Source organism: Homo sapiens, chromosome 7 (genome assembly GCF_000001405.40).
Source record: "Homo sapiens chromosome 7, GRCh38.p14 Primary Assembly".
Taxonomy (NCBI): Eukaryota; Metazoa; Chordata; class Mammalia; order Primates; family Hominidae; genus Homo; species Homo sapiens.
Genome location: NC_000007.14, coordinates 96,014,309 through 96,035,102, shown reverse-complemented (window position 1 = coordinate 96,035,102; position 20,794 = coordinate 96,014,309). Strand labels below are relative to the sequence as shown.

Genomic DNA, 20,794 nt, shown 5'->3' with positions numbered 1-20,794 from the left:
TTGGGTGAATAGGCTATAAGCCTGAAAAGAACAATATTTAAATACGTCTTTAAAATAGCAAATGGGAGTCTTTATTTTATAATATGATTTTTTAAAATTGAGAATTAAAGATTCCTAATCTTAAAAGATATACTGCTGAGTTAAGTTTAATGACAGAAAAGAATAATCAATTATAACTAATATCCCTGAGTATTTCTGGCTATTTACATCAAATAGCCTATTTTGTGCATCTGAAATAATTTTTAAAAAATCATTCTGAGGTATCATATCATTATAGTTGCTTGAGAGTTTAGTCTTTCTTGTGCAAATAAACTATTTCAGCCAAGGAGTCCATTAAATTGAAAGTGCAAGCTAACAGTCTAAGCAACACAGACTGATTCTGATCCTGTGATGTGTTCAAAGTTTGTGATATCCACACATAGGGTGCACATCAGCAACTGGGATAAAGGAGAGGATGCTGTGACTATGTCATACAGATAACTGGATCATCCAATGATCTGCTTCATCACTAAAATTAGCAGCAAGGAAGGAAAAGTCCCTTTACCCATTTGGGAGAGAGAAAGACCAGGCCAACTGTTGGATGCCCCTATTCCTCCCTGCCATCCATGGAAGCCATGTCACGAAATCCTCCATCTTTGTATAGACACAGGAGTCTGTGAGCATGCTAAAACTAATACAAACGGACTTAGAGCCACCATATTACTGGTTTTAACCTAAATAAATATGTGTAATGAGCAAAATGGGCAATTAAAAATTCCTAAATAGTGGGCTTGCTCTTATGTCTGTTTATAATCTTCAGGCTTTTAAAAGAAAACAAAACATTGCTGAGAATTTTAAGACAAAGCCATAAAATACCAATCCCTCCAGCCCTCTATAATGTTAAAGATCAGCGAAAATAGTGGAACTTCAATTGTAAGCAGCTTATTAGCACTCTCTCCTTTTTCTCCCTAAAATTATTTTAAAAAAACGTAGTATTCTTTACATCCGTATTTTGTGGAGGCTTAAAGGAGGTTGGTTCTTCACAGTTTCCATATTTCCTTTTGTGTGTGTGCATGTGTGTGTGTATAATAATAATAATAATTATTTTTTTCAAGAGACAAAGTCTCACTCCGTCACCCAGACTGGAGTGCAGTGGTGTGATAATAGTTCACTGCAACCTCGAACTCCTGGGCTTAAGCAATCCTCCTGCCTGAGCCTCCCAAGGAACATGGACTACAGACATGTGCTAGCACACCCAGCTAACTTTTTAAGTTTTAGTAGAAAAAGGGTCTTGCTCTGTTGCCTAGGCTGGTCTTGAACTCCTAGGCTTAAATGATTCTCTCACCTCGGCCTCCCAAAGTGCTGGGATTACAAGTGTGAGCCACCGTGCCCTGTCTCCTTATGTACATTTTGAAACTTTAACTTCTTCTAAAATTGTGTGAGAGACATTCTAGGGTTTTTATCCTGGGAAAGAATATGGGAATGTTAACATTGAGAATTATCTCCTAGATATTGTTTTGCAGTTTTCTCCATGTTTCCTTACATTTTTGTCAAAGTCTATAACAATGACTTCTCTGTTGTTTTTGGTTGGAGGATAGTGAATACTGTTTTTTCACACAAAGAAATATGGAAAAAGCGTGTGTGTATGTGTTCATGTGTGTATGCGCATGTCTTGTGTGTTTGTCTACATATGCATATCTTGCAAGTTGCATTTAGTTGTCTCCCTTTGACAGCCTCTCCCACTTCTATTCCTTTGTTTGGTCCCCACTGTTGCAATCAGTATTGGTTTGCAGACTTTGGAACTTTTTCATTTTTGACTTCTCATTTACTGAGCAAGGAATGACAGGAGCCATACTAAAAAACATTCCAGAGGGGAAAACAGATGGTTTCTTCATACACACAGGCTGTTGTCTAGGCTACGGATACAAGCAAGGGCTTGGATTTCTGTTTTGCTGGGTTACCTTCCCTCCAATGCAAGTACCCATAAGGGATTGCTCTGCTGAGCTCCAACCTCGTCTGCATCTGTTCAACAATGCTGTAGGGTAAGTGCAATTCATACCATAGGCAACTTCCATAATTACTATGATTTAGAATGGATTATTTCATTTTCACTTGAAACTGACCTAAGGATTAATGTATTACAATAATTACATGATTTGTGGTAAAGGAAATGGGTTTTGGCTTCAAGAGAAGATTGCTGAAAGCAGGCCCCACTCTTTCAAGTGCATCCATTTGTTTTAGCTCCTCTAGGATGTGAGGGTTTGGCTTTTAGGAACTATGTTCCATTAAGTAGGTATCTCTTTTAACCAGGATGGTGTTATGTGTAGGGAAAAACAAACCCACCTGTGGAGTTGAGAGCATGTCCAGGCTCCAGGAACACATTTTGCCATCAGTGGAGACAGTGATGAGGTTATGAGCATTCTGGGTCCCAACAACATTTACACAGTACACGGGATGCTGCAAAAACATAAACAAAGAGGATCAGAGACAGATCCAAGAGGAAATGCTTACATTTGAGTGTCAAACACATTACTCTAAAACAAGGATTAAAGAGTAACATAATCCTACTATAATACAAGCGTCAGGTCATTTGCCGCTTTTGATTTGAACCTGATTTCTTTCTAAAAGCTCTGGCAGCAACACATAATAGTGGAAATACTTATAAAGCTTCACCTTGCTCAGTCAGAATGCAATGCAGTGGAACAGAAGGACGCTAGAACAAATGAGGTTTGATGGGGCAGAGGCAATGCAGGGAGGTGAATTTGAACTACTTGAATAAGTCTCCACCGCATAGTTTGGCTTCTAAGCTCAACAAGAGTGATGGAAAAAGACAGTCTTCAAAAGGGTAGAACTACTGACTTTTGGAAGGAATACATGTTACTAAATCTGGAGTTTAATGCATTATAGTCACAATGCCAAACATTTGTTAACATTCTTTATAAAAAGTGGTTAATATTCATAACCATTTTAATCTGGGGGAGAGATACTAGTGGTGAGATTATTGGCACAATGTACCTGGTGAGATAAAATTAGGTTCTTCTATGTTACTGCAAAATCTAGGATAATAATATATTTATTTTTCAAAATACCGTTTGCAGTAGTATAGAGGCTTAGATTTGGCCAGGGCATTGAGAAAGGTCATTTATACATCCCAGGAACCATACACAAGATGTTGTAACCCTCTGTCATACTCTAGTGGGTTATCCCACTCTGCAGAATTCTAAACGGTAGGCTAAAATCATTTGCAGCTGTGTATTAAACACAAAATGGAAGGTTACTATGAGCAGAACCTACAGCAATTTGGGTTAGATTTCAGGCAGTTCAGCCACCAGTGGCCAAACCACACTTACTTGGTGCTTCTTTGTGCAAATAGCTGACAGTATCAGTCTTACCCTTGGTGAGTTACTGTCCATAATACCTAGCCACAACTACAATGAAACAATATTTAATATTGGAAAGTTGCTATTGTATAAAGGATGGTTCCCAAACTATTATTATCATATAAACTGCTGGTCAGAAGGAGTGGTAATAATCATCTAATGTAGCTACTCATCTGCCTCAACCAAGAGGTGGTCCAAACTCTGCTTAAACACCTTCCTTAAAGGGCAGCCAGTTTTCGTAGTATCCTGGGGGAGTTTTTTCTTCCACTAATGGGGATAAAGAAAGTTCAAGGAGATACTTCCAGTGCAGTGCCCTGTGGGACCAAACCAAACTAATCAAGTCAAAACAGTACAGCTTTTTGAATATTTATAGATAGTTGTTCCCTGTTACTCCTCTCCCTGCCAAATCTTTTCTTACCCAGACTGTCACTAATTCCTTCATCTGTTCCTTGGGTACCTGGTTTTCAAAACCTTTCCTATCCTGGTGAATCTCTTTTGAAAATGCTGTATTTTGTCTGATTCCTCTTCCAGTGAGGTTCTGAGAATAAAACAGAACTGTCTACCTATATTCTGACCAGCAGAATATAGAAACCTGGGTAGCATTGAATTATCACTTCTCATGTGATAAAAAATATGCCTGCATTTAATGCATGCTAAGATTACATCTGCTTTTTTGACAATTATATCACCTCTTTCCCCCGTGCTGATGGACAGTCAGCTAAGTCCCTATGTCTTTCACACCATGTCCCTACTGAAACTTCCAAATGAGTCAGCCTTAGTGGATCTGCACATAGTAAGTACAGCAGAGATCTGAAGCTAAATGTTATCCCAATCAGTTCTCTAAGTATCAGGAAGGCTGACTGGTTGTGGGATTGTAGGCAATGCTCTTTCCCAAGTCTCTGGTGTATGTAGAGCCCCAGGCAGTGTATTATCAAGCCCGGAGCCACACAGCATGCTAACCTCTGTGTGGAAATCAAATGGAAGATTGGATGTAACAAATTTTCACCTGAAAATGGTATAGACTTAGTAAAACTGAAGAATGGGAAGGCAGGGTCCAAATACTGTTATGAACCTGAAATCCATCTTGTTTTTCAACAAGAGTCCAGTGGGGCTTCTTTGATAACCACTGAGCATCAACACAAATCATTAAACACTAATGGATTAAGACTCAGAAAGGTCCAGCAGAGAAAGAAAGCAAGTCTAGAAGAATGTGTAGAGCCATGTGCCCGGAGAAAGTGTGTGTGGCAGCCCCTCCCAGGCTTTAATCAGCACTACTGGCCTGTGCTTCCATGAGTAATAAAACTCAGTTTAAGAGAAAAAAGAGGTGTAATGAAACCAAAACAGAAGCAGACACTGGAGCATGCCTACACACACACACACACACACACACACACACACACACACACACACACAACTCTACCATTAAGGAAGAAGAAAGCTACAGTATACCCATTTTTCCAGTATAGATGCCAGATTGTTTTTATTTATCTTGGAAATAAACTTACTGTGTGCCTGAGGGATTTTGTTTTACTTATGATTTCCTGTTGTCTCAAATGCATATGTGTGGTGGGTGTGAAAGGAAATTAGTGAGTAATCTGTGGTGGGCCTCTTTTTCCTTTTTGATCCTGGTACCAATCAGTCAGCCAATAGTGAAAGTTGAAAGACAGTCACAAAATTAACTGTTCACTTTTAGCTATAGATTAGAGAAAACAAACAAACAAAATCCCCCTGAAAAAAACCAAAACAACAACAACAACAACAACAAAACAGCAAAAGCGAAAAGTGGACAAGTTTTGTTTCTTTTTCCTTTCTTTTTCTTTCTTTTTTTTTTTTTAGAGGAAGTCTCCCTCTGTTGCCCAGGCTGCAGTGCAGTGGTAAAATCTTGGCACACTCCTACCTCTGCCTCCTGGTTTCAAGCGATTCTTATGCCTTAGCCTCCCAAGAAGCTAGGATTACAGGCGTGCACCACCACACCCAGCTACTTTTTGTATTTTTAGTAGAGACAGCGTTTCTCCATGTTGGCCAGCCTGGTCTCGAACCCCTCAAGTGATCCACCTGTCTTGGCCTCCCAAAATGCTGGCATTAGAGGTGTGAGCCACCATGCCTGGCCTATTTTATTTTCTAACAGAAATAACATCAGTAAGTTTGATAATAATAGTATTTTAGTTGTGATGATCACACTCTAAGTTACTCACAAAAGAAATGTTAATTTTTTGGAAGAGCTCCTGGTTTTGAATTTTCCCCAAAAGCTTACTGCTAAATGTTCTAACATTTGGATTTACAATTTTGGAAATTTCAGAAGGTATGTTCAGAAATACACCAGCCATCCAAACAGGGCCAAGGCATGGTTTCACACTACTTCACCAAACACCTGCATCAAGCCCACCTTCTCCTGGGCCACAATTTTCTGTTATTAGTTTGGGGAAATGGGGCAGGCAAGAGCAATTTCCCAAGATTCCCAAGAACTAGTTTCACCTGCAAGTGTCTTTGGCCCCAGTCAATCAGAATTGGGGCTGACTTGGTATTTGTCATTTCCCATTGATAATCTTACAAGAGTAGGAGATTTTTCCTCCTCATGGACTTAGCTAAACAGCTGGCAGTCCTTTTTCATGCCAGAGTGCTTTTGAGTCCAGCATATGAAACAAATGCAGCAAGCACATTAAGGAAATTGAAAACAAGAGTAAAGCTGTATCCTTGGGCATAATTTGGGCATTTCAGAGAAAGAACATCAGTTACCCTGAGTGTCAAGGTAGCAAGGATTGATGGAGACACGCCTGTCTTCTCATTCCTCTGAACAATTGCTGTACACACCTGTCATTCTTTTAAAGGAAATGACAGAGTAGTTGTCTTATGAACACTATACTGAACCTCTTCTACTAAATTATGGGTAATGGTTTTGAGATGTTGACTTTTAACCCCAGGGATTATATTGTCACTGTAGACTTTATGTTGAGACTTACACCACACATTCCAGAATTTAAAGTCAAAGTACTCTCTCAAATCACACATGGAAAAGGCCAGTTGGCAAAAGTCCCATATATCATCCCTTGATGTGAAATCCTTACTCTTCAGGATCTATTTGAAAATACGTGTTTCCACCTTATAATGTAAATGCATAGGGTTTCTTTGGGAAAACAATTCCACAGATGCCTCTTCCAAGGTTTCTCTTCACTGGTGGCCTTTGGGAGAGCCAAGGAGATCCTCCCTACATGCTAGCACATGTAGGTTATTAAGAGACATCCCTAAAGCCAGTGCTTCCTTCATCTACTTTTCACTCAACTTTTAGCTGGTCAGGATTCAATCATAATAAAGTAGATCCTCCTAACTTGGCATTACTGAAAACATCCATACTTTTTTGAGTAGAGTTATTTTCTCTTTCAGGGCCTGGCGGCTCACAGGGATATGGCAAAAGTTTGCATTACCGTGTGTGCAGCAGCTGATAAGGGTGTCCGCTGCACTGGAGTCCTTCGATGACTGCGATTGTCCCAGAGGACAATCTGGCCCGAGTAAGTCCCACCAACCACCAAGTTAGGATGGAAACGGGCGAAGCAGACCGACATCACAGAGGACTGTCAGGGAAAAGGAGAGAGAGAGAGAGATGCAATGTGAAATGGTTGTAGGTGACTTGTTTCTTCCTGAAAACAGTTCATCACATAAACTCAACACATCCTGGAAAACAAAAAAATAATTTAAAGCTGGGACTGTAAAAGTGCATAGTTACTAAGAAATTTTGTACATAGGCACAGGACTTTCTTTGGAGAGGCTGACCAATGGTTACTGCTTGAAATCTGAAATTTGAAGTCCTGTCCATTTTATCAAATAGGTATGAAACCTATCTTAAGTACATCATTGTTTTGTGGTCTGTAAATCTTGCTTTATGGACATTTCCCATTTGTCACATAGAATTGCAACAGAACTAATATTAATTCTCCACTAAAGCCTTTACTAAGCAATTCTTTACTTTGAGAGCATGGCCACATCAAGTTACACAATTTGCAGTGTTGGTAAAGGCAGAGTAATTCTAGATTCAAGGCCTTTAAGATGAGGTCTTCTTTTTGTTTTTCCCTTAATGTAGACTTCCAGGAAGTATACTGACCTCAGACTGATCCAATTGGCTCCTCCTAAAATTCCCTCACCTCCCATGGGCATTCTTCCTGATCTTAATTCTGCCCACTTCAGAAAATTCTTAATGTTATTCCTTGCCTATTTTAACAAACAACCAGAAATGGATCTCAGTCCAGCTCTGCCATGGTCTGTCATAGTCTGTCACAAATGTGGTTTCTGAAGCTCCATAAAAGACTACTGGGCAGTACATTTTGTAGGAAATTACTTAGCTGAGATAGAACCATAATGCACTTAAAGTCAGAGAAGTAACTGTTTTGCATCTGCTAAGACCATTTTGATTCCTACGGTACTTTTCATATTTGCATTTATAAGCTAAAGTAATTGTTTTTAGTCAATACATTTCATGCCTTAATTAAATTAAATGAAGTCACTGAGAACTTACCATGTATAAGGAAGGCACTGTACCAGGAATGGTAGGAATAAAAGGGTAGTCACTGCCCTCAGCAAATTTGTGCTCTGGGAAAGGGAACTAAAAAACATGGATGCAGATGAACAGATGGGCTACCAGTCCATACGGTGCCTTTGTGGAAAACAGAAAAAGGTATCCTCTGCAGAAACACAGTCGTATGGGCAGGTGCATGCCTTGGCAAATGGAGAGTAAGATGGATTTTCATCCCCACGTGTCCCTTTGGCCTGATGTTCTTGTGCAGAGCACAACTTGCACACCCAAGTAGCAGCCTTGAATGTGATACATGCTATGACTAAATTGTAGGAGCATGTGGAGTGTGTGGGTGTGTCTCTGTGTGTGAGGGGGATAGATGGAAGGGGAAGATTTGTTTTAGTTAGGGAGGGGGAGAGGAGGCTGGAAATGGTGAGATGGTTGGAAAGAACTCATGGAAGAGGATGAATCACACCTTGAAGTATATATGGAACATTCAAACAGTGGAGAGAAGCAACAGGCATTCCTGAAGGATAGGATAATGAAGGAAAAGGACTAGAGGCAGCAAAATGAGACTTGTGAGCAGCTCATAGTCTTTTTTGGTTGGGAAGGGGATTGCATGGAAGAATCAGATAGTAGGAAGTCTGACTAAGAGATTGCCTGGGCTAGACAGCAGAAAGCCTTGAATGACATTATTTGGAATTTTTTTCTGTGGACAATGGTGAGAAATCACAACTTTTGGAGCAAATGAGTAAGAGGATCCAACATCATAACTGATACACCAGCAAAGTAGTAACAAAAAAACCCCAAAAAAAAACCTATGACCTCTTTTTGACTAGTAAACTAAACATCTATTAAAAAAAATAAAACAGAACAAGACAAAAAACAAGAAACCAAACCCAGATCTCCTATCAGCCTAAGGCTTCCTAGTTAGAAACAGCCTCAGATACTCTGAGGGAGAATAAAGAATGTAGACTATTTTTCAATGTCATGTTTCCCTACTTTGAATGATTTTCAGTTTCAATTCCTTGAACATGATTCAATGGAGAACATGCTCATGCCCCAATCTGGTTTTCATAAAGTTCAAGAATAACTCTCAATAATGATACTGAATTAAAGAAAAAGAAAATAATGCTGGTCGGCTTCTTGTTTTACACATCCCACAGAAATGATTCTTAGCTTTCAATTGATGAAATTCTTATGTTGCTGGAGCTACGTTGGAAACTTTTTTTTAAAGCTTCAGAAAGATTTAAAATTATCCAGGTGGTATCGACAATTGAATTTACCAAAGCTCAAATCGATATGGATAAAGGAATGTCATTCAATTTTTTAAAATGCAGAATTCAACCACTTGATTGCTTCTGTGTTTCAGCTAAATCCAAGCAAATATCCCCCCCCCGCAAGCTTGTACTGTTTGTTGAGACTAAACCAGAGGAAAACCAGCAGTGGAGGTATTTATATAAAACTGAAACACATAGTTGGCAATCAACTAGAACCCAACCCCATAGAGTGAGAACTCCAATACCTATTTGTTCATTCATTAATTTGTTCATTCTTCATTCATTCATTCATCCAACACTTACCACCAACAAAGGACTACTAAACCATTTCAAAAAATTTTAAATGTCACAAAAGCCCCCATCTCAAATTCAGAATTCTATTTAAATTTGATAAAAAGTCAAGTTAATGCTAAAAAAGAGTAACACCACCTTGCAGCACCAGAGTTCTGCTTCCAGAGTCTACTTTGTTTTGCTGCAAACCTATTTTTACAATATAACCATGATAAATAAGATTAGACTTTTTTTTTTCATTTTCTGTTTGGAAGATGAGGTATAGTTATGTTCATCAATTTCACTTATATCTTAAGCTCAACATATTAATTACATGTTATATGTATTACATGACATATATGTATTACATGACATATATGTTAAAATAAATACAGATATATTTACATATCCTGTGTTCAACACAGGTCTCCAGGGTACACCACACTATGCACTATCATTCATGTAAAAATGCTAACGTAGTAAGATTTCAATTGCTTAGATGTAAACTTGAGAATTCAGTCATTTCACAAGATGTCTTTACATACCCTGATGTTTGATGTAATGGTGGCCAACATTTGGATGAGTGAGTTAATTTTTTATTTTTCATCCAAAAGTTTCCTTGCCTTGTTATTCTATAAGAATATATGTGTATAGATATATTTATAGTCTTAACTACAGTTTGGACAATGAGGGCTCCTCTTTTAATTTGGAAAGTCTACATCAACAATCCTCAGAGTAAAAGGTCTCAGAAACCTTTTACTGTTGCAACCCCCTGCTGTTCACACAGCTACCTATCTAGTCATTACTGTTGCTGCTGATTGTCATAGAATTTACTGACTGTGAATAAAAAGAGCAAATGATATCATCCTGTCAATTACCTCTATTTGGTTAAAAGTAAAAAACATTTCAGAAAAATTGGTTGACACTACTAATAAATGTGGGGTTTTTTTGTCCTTCATTTTTAACAGTACATTTTTCTGGAGATAAAATCTAAAAAAATTATTAGTAACACCATTTTATTTTAAAAAATTTCATTACTTCCCTATGCAGTTGAAATTTTATATTGTTATTCAGTGTTATAATAAAGCATTATTAAATGGAGACTAATAAAATGCAGACAAATGAAATTAACTGGAAACAAAAAGTTTCCTTGCCTTGTTATACTGTAAGAATATATATGTGTATAGATATTTTTATAGTCTTAATTATTTCCTATTTTATTTTATTCCTTAAAATGTTAATGTCTTAGAATTACTTTGAAAAATAACGTATGGCCTTTAAAAATTCAAATCAAGCTGGGCGCAGAGGCTCACACCTGTAATCTCAGAACTTTGGGAGGCCAAGGTGGGAGGATTGGTTGAGCCTAGGAGTTCGAGACTAGCATGAGCAACATGGTGAAACCCCATCTCTACAAAATATTTAAAAAAGAAAAACCAATCAAGTAGTTTACGTAAGTGGAAAATAATTATAAAGTTGGTGAGGATCTTTCAATAATGTTAACTAATCAAAGTAATTTTTCCTGAGGCTACGGTTGAACTCTATTTTCACAAGGCTATTGATTTCATTGATGTGGCCACATTGTTGGTCAAATCAGGGGCTCAGAAATACGATGAGCTCATATGTAACAAGCTTGATGAAAAACTGGTAAGACTGACTGTCAATATTCCAACACACATAACACAAAGACAGTGTTACGTTAGGAACCACAATTTCTAAGAGGGCAAGCATCACATTTTGATTATTTGCACAATATGTTCCTCCCAAGTTCGGACAAGCAAAATTTTGAGACTATATTTCGAAGACCAAGCCATCTCTGTTGACAGTTTCCAATGTTTTTAGCAGATGCCTTAGCCCAGAGGCTCCTGAGAAAACAGTTTGTTTTTTAATCCTGAGCAGATGGCCCAGTTACTGGCCACCCCTGCAAAGACAGACCACCTCCTTATCCATATAGCCACATGTTCACTTGCACACGAGCTGACCCACTAAACAGAGTTCCACCTCTTCATCATCTATTTAAAGAGAAGTCAGTTTATTTTACACCATTCACAGGGAATTCCACAGAGATGAGGGTGAGATTCAGCTTGGAATGTCTCCCTGCACTCACCGCACACCATCACTACATTCAATTCAAGTTAGCCCAGACCCGTCTTTAAGTGGCTGTGGAGGCTGTTTTCTATTTTGTGGAGCTAATCCAGGCCAGCTTAGAGATGGTACTTCCCCTTAACCACAGACCCAGATGCCCAGGGTGAACAACCTTTGGTCATTCCTGGCTGGGAAGCCTACCCTCTAGGCTCCCATTTGATCTGGTTGCCTGTGACCTTCCGTGCGTGGCACTCTGCCCACTCCCCAGCCATCATGCCTGGGTGGGAGAAATAAGGGTTCTGCTCTCAAAAGCATCGCCTATTTCAAGTACCATCTCTTCTGGGGAGAGGATGGTCCTCAGGGAGGGACTGGTCGTATTGTTGCCATATGCTGTTAAATGGTGGCTGACGTTTTATTTGCCTAAAAACAAATGCTTCACTGTCAGAGGGCTTTGAGGCAGACAGATCAGATGCTTCTAGCTACTAGTGAACTAGTAGCTATTTCTGCGAGTACCTAAGAAACCCACAAAGATATTTCTTTTGTTAATGGAAAAGTGTATTTGGAGAAGACTGCTGTTGAAAACCCCTCCTATAGGCAATCATGTAGCACCAGGCATTTGGCAACATGGAAGGTGTGAAGCTGGTCAAGACGACATGAGTCATGGGTCAGGCACTTAACTTTAATTGAGATGAAGGGAAAGGGTCTTTTTTTCTTTATATTATTATTATTATTATTATTGAGACAAGGTCTTGCTCTGTCACCCAGGCTGGAATGCAATGGCACAGTCATAGCTCAAGTCATAGCTCACTTGAGCTCCCAGGCTCAAGTGATCCTCCTGTCTCAGCCTCCTGAGTAGCTGGGATTACAGGCACATGCAACCACACCGAGGTAATTTTTAAAATTTTTTTGTAGAGATGGGGTCTTGCTATGTTGCCATGGCTGGTCTCAAACTCCTGGGCTCAAGCAATCTTCCTGCCTCAACCTCCCAAAGTGCTGGGATTACAGGTATGAGCCAACATATCCAGCCTCTTTTTTCTTCTAAAACTCTCCCTTCCTCTCTCTAAGTCTCTGTCCTGGGGTGCACAGGCTATTCTTCTAAATTCTAAGAGGAGTAAACATCAATCAAAAGTTATCACCCCATTAATGTGGGGGTGCCCTGGAGCAAAGTTTGAGTTAGTTACCTGCTCCTTCTTGACACTCTTTATACTAAGAAATAAAAAGCAGCTGATTCTAAAATTTGATTTCCCATAGATTAGAAACCCATCATCCTGATAACCTTTCTGAGAATTCCTTGGAATTTTCATGGCTTTCAGTATTTAGACCCTATCACGTGCCTTGTCCTGGCTTTTATGCTGAGAATACAAAGGTAGTGTGCAAACCACAATGACATACCATTTAACATCCACTAGGTTGGCTATAATTTTTTAAAAATGGAAATAAGTGTTGGTGACGATGTGGAGAGATGGGAACACTCATTACAATGCTTGTGGGAATGTACAATGGTGCAGCCACTCTGGAGAACAGTCTGGCAGTTCCCCAAAAAGTTAAACATAGAATTATCATATGTCCCACCAATTCCACTCCTAGGTATATACCCAAGATAATTGAAAAAATATGTCTACACAAAAAACTTGTGCACTAATGTCCACAGCGGCATTATTCATAATTGTTAAAAAGTGGAAACAACTCAAATGTCCCTCAACTGAGGAATGAATAAACGAAATGTGGTAAATCCATACAATGGAATGTTTGGCAATAAAAAGAATAAAGTACTGATGCATGGTATAGCATGGATGAACCTTGAAATCATTACGCTAACTGAAACAGCTCATAAAAGGCCACTTATTGTATGATTCCATTTACATAAAATGTCCAGAATAGGCAAATCCATTGAGTCAGAAAGCTGAGTCGTGGTTGCCTAGGGCTGGGCTTGGAAGGAATGAGGAATGACTACTAAATATGGGGTTTCTTTATGTGATGATAAAAATGTTCTGGAATTAGACAATGCTAATTGTCCAACTTTGTGAATATACTAAAAAAACACAAAATTGTATGTTTTAAAAGGGTAAATTTGTGGCATGTAAAATATATCTTAATTGTTAAAATTGTGCAGACATGTTTCTGACCTCATGAAACTTACCAACCTTATTTGTTATCTTCAAGACAACTGTGTCTGGACCCCGTGGATCACTCTTTCCTCAAACAACTATTTCTCCCTCTTTCCTTCTTCCTGAGCATCATCTTCAATTTCTACTTCCTGAGAGGCAGGGAGGTAGAAAGGGAGGATTGGCAGACCCAGAGTCCCAAGAACTGACTTTCTGCTCTGACACCTTACTAGCTGTGTGACTCCTTTAAGCCTTAAGTTGTTTGTTTGCATATTTGAGGGACACATTTTCAAATTATTTATTTTTAAAATTGTGGTGAAATACTCATAAAATTTGTTATCATCTTAACCATTTTCAAGTGTACGGTTCAGTGACATTAAACACATTCACATTGTTTTGCAACCATCACCATCATCCATCTCCAGAACTTTTCGATCTTCTCCAATTGAAACTTGGTACCCGTTAAACACTAACTCCTCATTCCTCCCCCATCCCCCATCCCTCATCACTCTTCACCAGGCTCTGGTAACCACCATTCTACTTTCTGACTCTACAAATTTGACTACTTGAGGTACCTCATATAAGTATTATCATATAATATTTATCCTTTTGTGATTGGCTATTTCACTTAGCATAATGTCCCCATGGTTTATCTATGTTGTAGCATGTGTCAAAATTTCTTTCCTTTTTAAGGCTGAATAATATTCCATTGCATGCATAAACCACATCTGGTTTTATCGATTCATTCATCAATGGACACTTTCTGGCTATTGTGAATAATGCTGCTAAGAATATGGGTGCACAACTAACTCTTTGAGATCCTGCTTTCAATTATTTTGGGTACATACTTGTAAGTGGAAATGCAAGATCATAATGTAGTTCTATTTTTGATTTTTTGACAAACCATCACACTGTTTTCTATAGCAGTGATATGGTTTGACTGTGTCCCCACTCAAATCTCATCTTGAGTTTCCACGTGTTGTGGGAGGGACCCAGTGGGAGGTAACTGGATCATGGGGGCAGGTCTTTCCCATGGTGTTCTTGCGCTGGCGGGTGGGTCTCACAAGATCTGATGGTATTATAAGGGGGAGTTTCCCTGCACGAGCTTTTATTTTTATTTTTTATTTTTATTTTTGCCTGCTGCCATCCATGTAAGACATGACTTACTCCTCCTTGCCTTCCACTATGATTGTGAGGCTTCCCCAACCATGTGGAACTGTAAGTCCATATTAAACCTCTTTCTCTAGTAAATTTCCCAGTCTCGGGTATGTTTTTATCAACAGTGTGAAAACAGACTAATGCAAGCAGCCGCACCATTTTACATTCCACCCACAATACATAAGGGTTTCAATTTCTCCATGTCCCCCACCAACACTTGCTATTTTCTGTCTTTTTTTTTTTTTTTGGCTTTCTTTTTAGTACTAGCCATTCTAATGGATATGAGGTATCTAAGCCTTATTTTTTTTTTTATAATAGGAGCATGACAGTTCTTGCCCTACCTATGGAACAGGCATTTTCTTTGCCTATTTTCCCTGGGGCTGTTGGAAGATTTGAATTAGGTAATGTAGTTTAAAGACAGATAAACAATATATTCCCATATAGAATTAGAAATTACTACCTCCTGATTCGAAGAAAAATCTCTAAACACTGTAAGTGGTCCAGAGGACTCTTCTTGCTCAACAAATCTTTCTCCAATAATTTCAGTAGTAATTCTTGGTCCTGTCCTGTTGATGGAGGTTGTCCTGATGATCTAGTAACACATGTTACTACATCATTTCTTACGTGGTTTAACTATTTTAAGTCCTTATTCTTGACAGTTCTTTCACACCTTGAATTAGAGCTGGACTCTATTGATCTGTGATGTGACTTTACATCTAGTTATTACTTATTCATCATTTACAGGTACCCTTCAGACTATTTTCTAAATCAGTACTACTCCAAATTCGCCTGTACCTTAGCATCAGTTGGGCTGCTTTAAAAAATCTCAAATGCTCAGGCCACATCCTATACCAATTTAGTCAGAATTTCTGGGGGTGCGACTGGGGCATTAGTATTTTGCCGTCAAATGTGAAAAGTACTGTTTCAAATTAATGGTTCCTAAGCTTATCTGAATAAAAAAAAAAAAGCACTTGGAGAGTTCATTAAAAACCCACATTGGTTACCAGAGGCTGGAATAGAAGGACTGGGGAGATATTAGTCAAAGGATATAAAATTTCAGTTAGATAGAAGGAATAAATTCAAGAGATCTACTGTACAACATGGTGACTACAATTAATAACAATGTATTATATATTTAAAAATTGCAGAGAGCAGATTTTATGTGTTCTCACTACAAAGAATGATGTGTATATTAAATAGCTTGATTTAGCCCTTCCACAATGTATACATATCAAACAAATCATCATGTTGTATACCATAGATATATACAATTTTGCTTGTTAATTAAAATGAAGAAACAAAAAACACAAACTCCTGAGTCCTCACTGTGATATACTTAATCAGAATTTCCAAGGTAGACATCTAGTGATCTGTGTATTTAACAAACACATCTAGGTGCTTCATATCATGGAGAAAAATGGAAAACACAGTTCTGAAACAATTAATTCATGGAGCATGACCCAGTATCATTGTGGGATAAGTTTCCTTCCGCATCAATGTAGGTCTGGATATTTCCCTTATGGAATCGTGTCATTTTCACAACCAGCCCAACTGAGAAACTTATGATATTTCCCTCTGCTAGAATACCATTCCTTAATTTCCTTCAAGGTTATTTGTTAGTTTTTACATCTCTCCTTGTTTCTCCTCCCCACAGAAATAATGAGGCTCTTAGAAAATGATAAATAAAAATGAAATGAAGGTTTAGGTCCCAACTTCTCTTCAGCATCACTCTCCATGTAGACACTAGGAGTTTTCTTGTTTATTGTCAGGAATGCTAATGAACATTATCACTGTCATCCCCGGCTACATGGCTATTTACTTGCGGCCAGCATTCCAAAATTTTTGTGCAGTTACTAAATGAGTGTCAAGCATATACTACACATCGCTGTATCAGTCTTACTAGGTGGGTAATTTTGCCTATATATATTTTTTGGATTAGGAAACCCAGGCTCAGAGAAGTAAGCCACTGGCTTAAGATCAAATTAATAGTAAGTGGCAAAGTCCAGATTTGAACCACAGCTTGGCTGACTTTGACACCAATATACTGTGAAAACTTGCATCGGTTGAATGCAGGTGCCTTTTCTCTTTGAGACATGGGTCCCGCCTGAGCACTACATTTCTTACTTCCTCACCTCTGTGGGACTGGTAGCCACAGGCTAAGCCTCATGCATACCCAGATGGCAGAGAGGGCTTGTGGGCTCCCTGCCTGTTACAGTGGCCTTGGCAGTGAGTCTCTGACCTCTCTCCAGTTGGGTTTCTGCTGCTGGTGTAGAGATCGCTCACCTCACTCAGCTCCCAGACTATCAGTTGCGACAGGTGATAACAGAGTTAATTAGTACCAATTGTGGTGATATTTACTATGAGGTGGGTACTTCCTGCTGGGAACTGATTGAGACCAATTAATCATTTCAAGAGAGTCTAATGAACAGCTAGCAGCTTGGAAACCAGTTGGATCACTCCTGACAAGCTCTGCATTGACTGCCACTTTGGGAGAAAATGCTTTGTTTTCATCTTGTCACTATATAACCAAAGGAAAAATGCCATTACAATCCAACAAGTTCTTTTGAAATTGAGTGTGTCTATTCCTCAAAATAATTATATGAATTATTATTTATTATTATGAAAAGTGAATAGGGCCACTATTGTGTGCTTTAACAAAAAGTGGAACTTCTTACTTACAGACATAAACACAGGACCTGAGGAACATTCTTCTGAACTCACATGATATGAAATAATATGCATACTTTTTTCACAGTTGTCTCATTGAGAGAGAGAATCATCTTCAGCAAAATGGTCATATTTTAGAAATAAAAGGATGGCTTGCATTTAGGAAAAAGTTAAAAAATATCAATATCTGACAATAATGCTCACTGAAGCACGTTCAGAACAAAGGTGGCTTTTTCAGTACTGACTGCCAACAGTTCACTAAAGTTTCTTGTCTCTTTTTTAGAAAATATAAAACCCAAGTTGCTAGGCCTAGACTGGAATAGCGATGTGGTACAAGGCGAAGGCAAACTTTGTTTTATTTATAGAGATAAAAAATAACAGGAAGAGATGAAGATGAATATATGGTTGCCTTTGTATGTTAAAAAGCAACAGTTTTCTTTAAATCAAATGTCTAAATCCTGCTTAATTAAAAGAAAGGAAGTTGATATTTGGATATGGTGTGTGTTGACATCCACCTCTTTGATTTATGAAAGTATGAACTAGAGAGAACAGATTACTCAAGACAGAAGAAAGAGTTCCAATTTGACAGGAAAAAGTGTAGGCAGCATTAACTTCGGTGCTTGTTAAAATATGAAGGATTAGTAGCAAAAAGGGAGGGAAGACTTGTGAATGTCTCCAGTTTAGGATCTTCAGAAATGTTTGGGGTTTCTGAGAATGGCTCACCCAACCACATGAAAGTGACACTAAGGGAGTCAGCCACACGACTTCTCTAAATTCAGAGCTGAGACTGCTGTACATTGACATCAAACCATCTTACTTGAAGTGTAGCCACAAATTAAATTTATTTTTATTGAAAAAGTACTAACTCCTTGCAAAGGGGGAAAATATAGCATTCAAAAATATGGTACTTCCTTCTCTTTCTTGACAGAGCAAGCATGTAAAAAAAGAGCCAGCTTCTTAATCTGTGTTCCCTTCCTGGGCCATATAAAAGAAGCAATAACGTTCATCAGCTACAGAATCCAAGAGAAGAATTCAGTTATCAGGTATTATTTTTTACCAGCACAATACAAAAAAATAAGCTAACCAGATTCAGAGCTGTTGTATTGGCAAGAGTGTCTAAAAACAATTGCATGATATGTGTGTCCTGCTTTGGACAATTTCTTTTTGAATTTGTAGGATTCACGGTTTGTTGTTTGAGGAGGCTGAGAAAGAAAGAAAAACATCCAGTCTCCATATGTCACTCAATCCCTTGCTGGTAAAATAAATCTACATTTGGAGGATCCACCCAAAGAGTCATGGACTAGCCCACATTAGATCATTACCAAGGCACTTAGGTCAGAAATTATAGAGAGACCATTAAAAAAAAAAAAAAAAACCTAAAGTGTTCTACTAAGCACAGCATCTTCACATGGTTTTTCTGAATAACTGTGGTGGTTTTGCCAGCTGTGACAGTACACAGAATCAGTTGGATCATTCTAAATTTAGCAAGAAAATAAAATAATTTGGCACGAATAGGTCTTTCTTCATATTAAAACTATGTGGTGAATATAAACCTTGGGCAAGACAATAAGAAGTGAAGACCTACGCCCAACAAAGCAATGAGGCCAAAGGTAGAAACAGTCTTAGTGAAGATTTGTCTTTTTCTATCTGCCTAGAATGACTTAGATATGCTTATGTCTAAGGCACAAAGATGAACCAGGTGACCTCTAGGACTATGTCTACCTTGGTGGTTCTATTGATAAACTGCTACTTTGAAGTACTAAAAAGAACTTGGAAAAACTGGATTTAAGTGCTTACTATAAGATATATGGAAGAGACAAGGGTAAACTTATGTTTTAAATTGTTAACCAATCCCAAATCTCACTGAGCCCTCAATTTCTACACCATTGTCGTGTCCACCGAAGAGTCTGAAGTTTTGCAAGAGACCCATAGACTGAGAATGGCTGCAGCATAGAAAATACCAGAAATGTGTCCTTGTGGGTTCATTTCTAAGCTGAAGGCAATTCCCTCTTACCGGAACATTTATGTGTACTTGGAAATTCAACAGACAAATGGGAATCAAATTCCCCAGAGTTCAACTTGAGCTGGTTTTTAAAAGGACAAAATAACAAACCAAGAGATAAAGAAAAATATGTGAATAAAAATTCTGGGGGGGGATCAAATGATTAAATTTACAACACTTCAGGGATTTTTCTCAGTCCACAAGGGAAATACTATTTTCAATCATAAGACGTAGGATGTACACATTAAGGGGCATTTACATAGAGGCTGAAATTTCCAGTTCAGGAAAAAGAGTCTAGAGGCATATTAAAGACCATCTGTCTGTAGGATTCTATTCTGAACCATGTTCTTCATTGAATTTATATGGGAGATATTATGGGTCAGCTAGAATAAATGTGATAATAAATTCCTAAACATATGTTAGAGTACACCCAATGTATGTGTCAGTCAATTATCATAATAAAAAGCAACATTTTGCTTCATATAAATCTAAATTAAAATGCACAAGGGCAGTATTTTTTTCTTTTCCCTAAAAAAGAAAAAAATGATTTTATACAAAGAATAGGAACAGATTTCCCAGTAATTTCTGCTTTGTGCATAGACTTGTGATGATGTGTCTTTTATCTTTGGAATTGTTGATTGGTGAGATTCACAAAGTGCCTTGTGCAATTCTCCAGGAGTTGAAAAAAAGGAAGGTGTTCAATGATCCTGTGGAGCCAGGAATAATATGAAACCAGATAATGAAGAGTTAAGGAAAGCTTCTAAGACTGCTAATGAACTCCATCCTGCCCTGGTAAGACCACCCTCCTTTTAAGTAAGAGGTAATTTAATATGCATCTAACTCAGTTGTGTTTGGGCTTCATCCAATCTATGAATATCAGTGTGATAAATTATAATGAATTGTCTGCAGTACTTCACAAAGTGACTATAACAGACCTGAAAAACAAGATCCGTAGCTTGATTTTCCAGCTTCCTTTGAATATTTTCTGCCCTATTCCTGTCAGAACATTCCAAAACTTGAAAATATTTCTTATAGTTCCCCACACAGAAAGTTATGTGCTTTGAGCCCCATTTGATTAGATCCACAGTTGTTGGCTGTCTCTATTAAATCAAGCCCCACACTTGAAAATGACACCAACAGTGAGACCAGCCAAATAATATAGCAAGAGAACTAACATGGCTCCTTTAGTTTCCAAAGGGTTTCTTTACATGTTAATTTCCCTTTGTAATCCACACGGTGTGCTGGGAAGTAGGTTAGTGAAAGGCACTGGGTTCCTATTTCAGATTCCGAAAAAGCAGCTGGAACCTTACATGTCTGCTGGGAGAAGGGGCAAAAACCGAAAAGGGAGTCAGGAGACTCACGTTCTG

At 38.3% G+C, this 20,794-nt stretch overlaps 1 protein-coding gene and 1 long non-coding RNA gene across 6 annotated transcripts in view; one reads left to right on the top strand and one right to left on the bottom strand.

Moving 5' to 3' along the window:
• Positions 1–20,794, bottom strand: part of DYNC1I1 (dynein cytoplasmic 1 intermediate chain 1) — a 337,769-nt gene that overhangs the window by 75,220 nt on the left and 241,755 nt on the right. For all 5 annotated transcript variants that reach the window (NM_001278422.2, NM_004411.5, NM_001278421.2 and 2 more), the window contains 2 exons: positions 6,782–6,928; positions 2,323–2,436 (listed from right to left, as the gene is read on the bottom strand). In NM_001278422.2, coding sequence (NP_001265351.1) covers positions 2,323–2,436; positions 6,782–6,928 — 261 coding nt within the window. The remainder of the gene's footprint in view (positions 1–2,322; positions 2,437–6,781; positions 6,929–20,794) is intronic.
• Positions 1,944–20,155, top strand: LOC124901700 (uncharacterized). Its single transcript, XR_007060440.1, has 3 exons — positions 1,944–2,021; positions 18,354–18,468; positions 20,104–20,155. It is a non-coding gene; the product is annotated as an uncharacterized LOC124901700 (long non-coding RNA).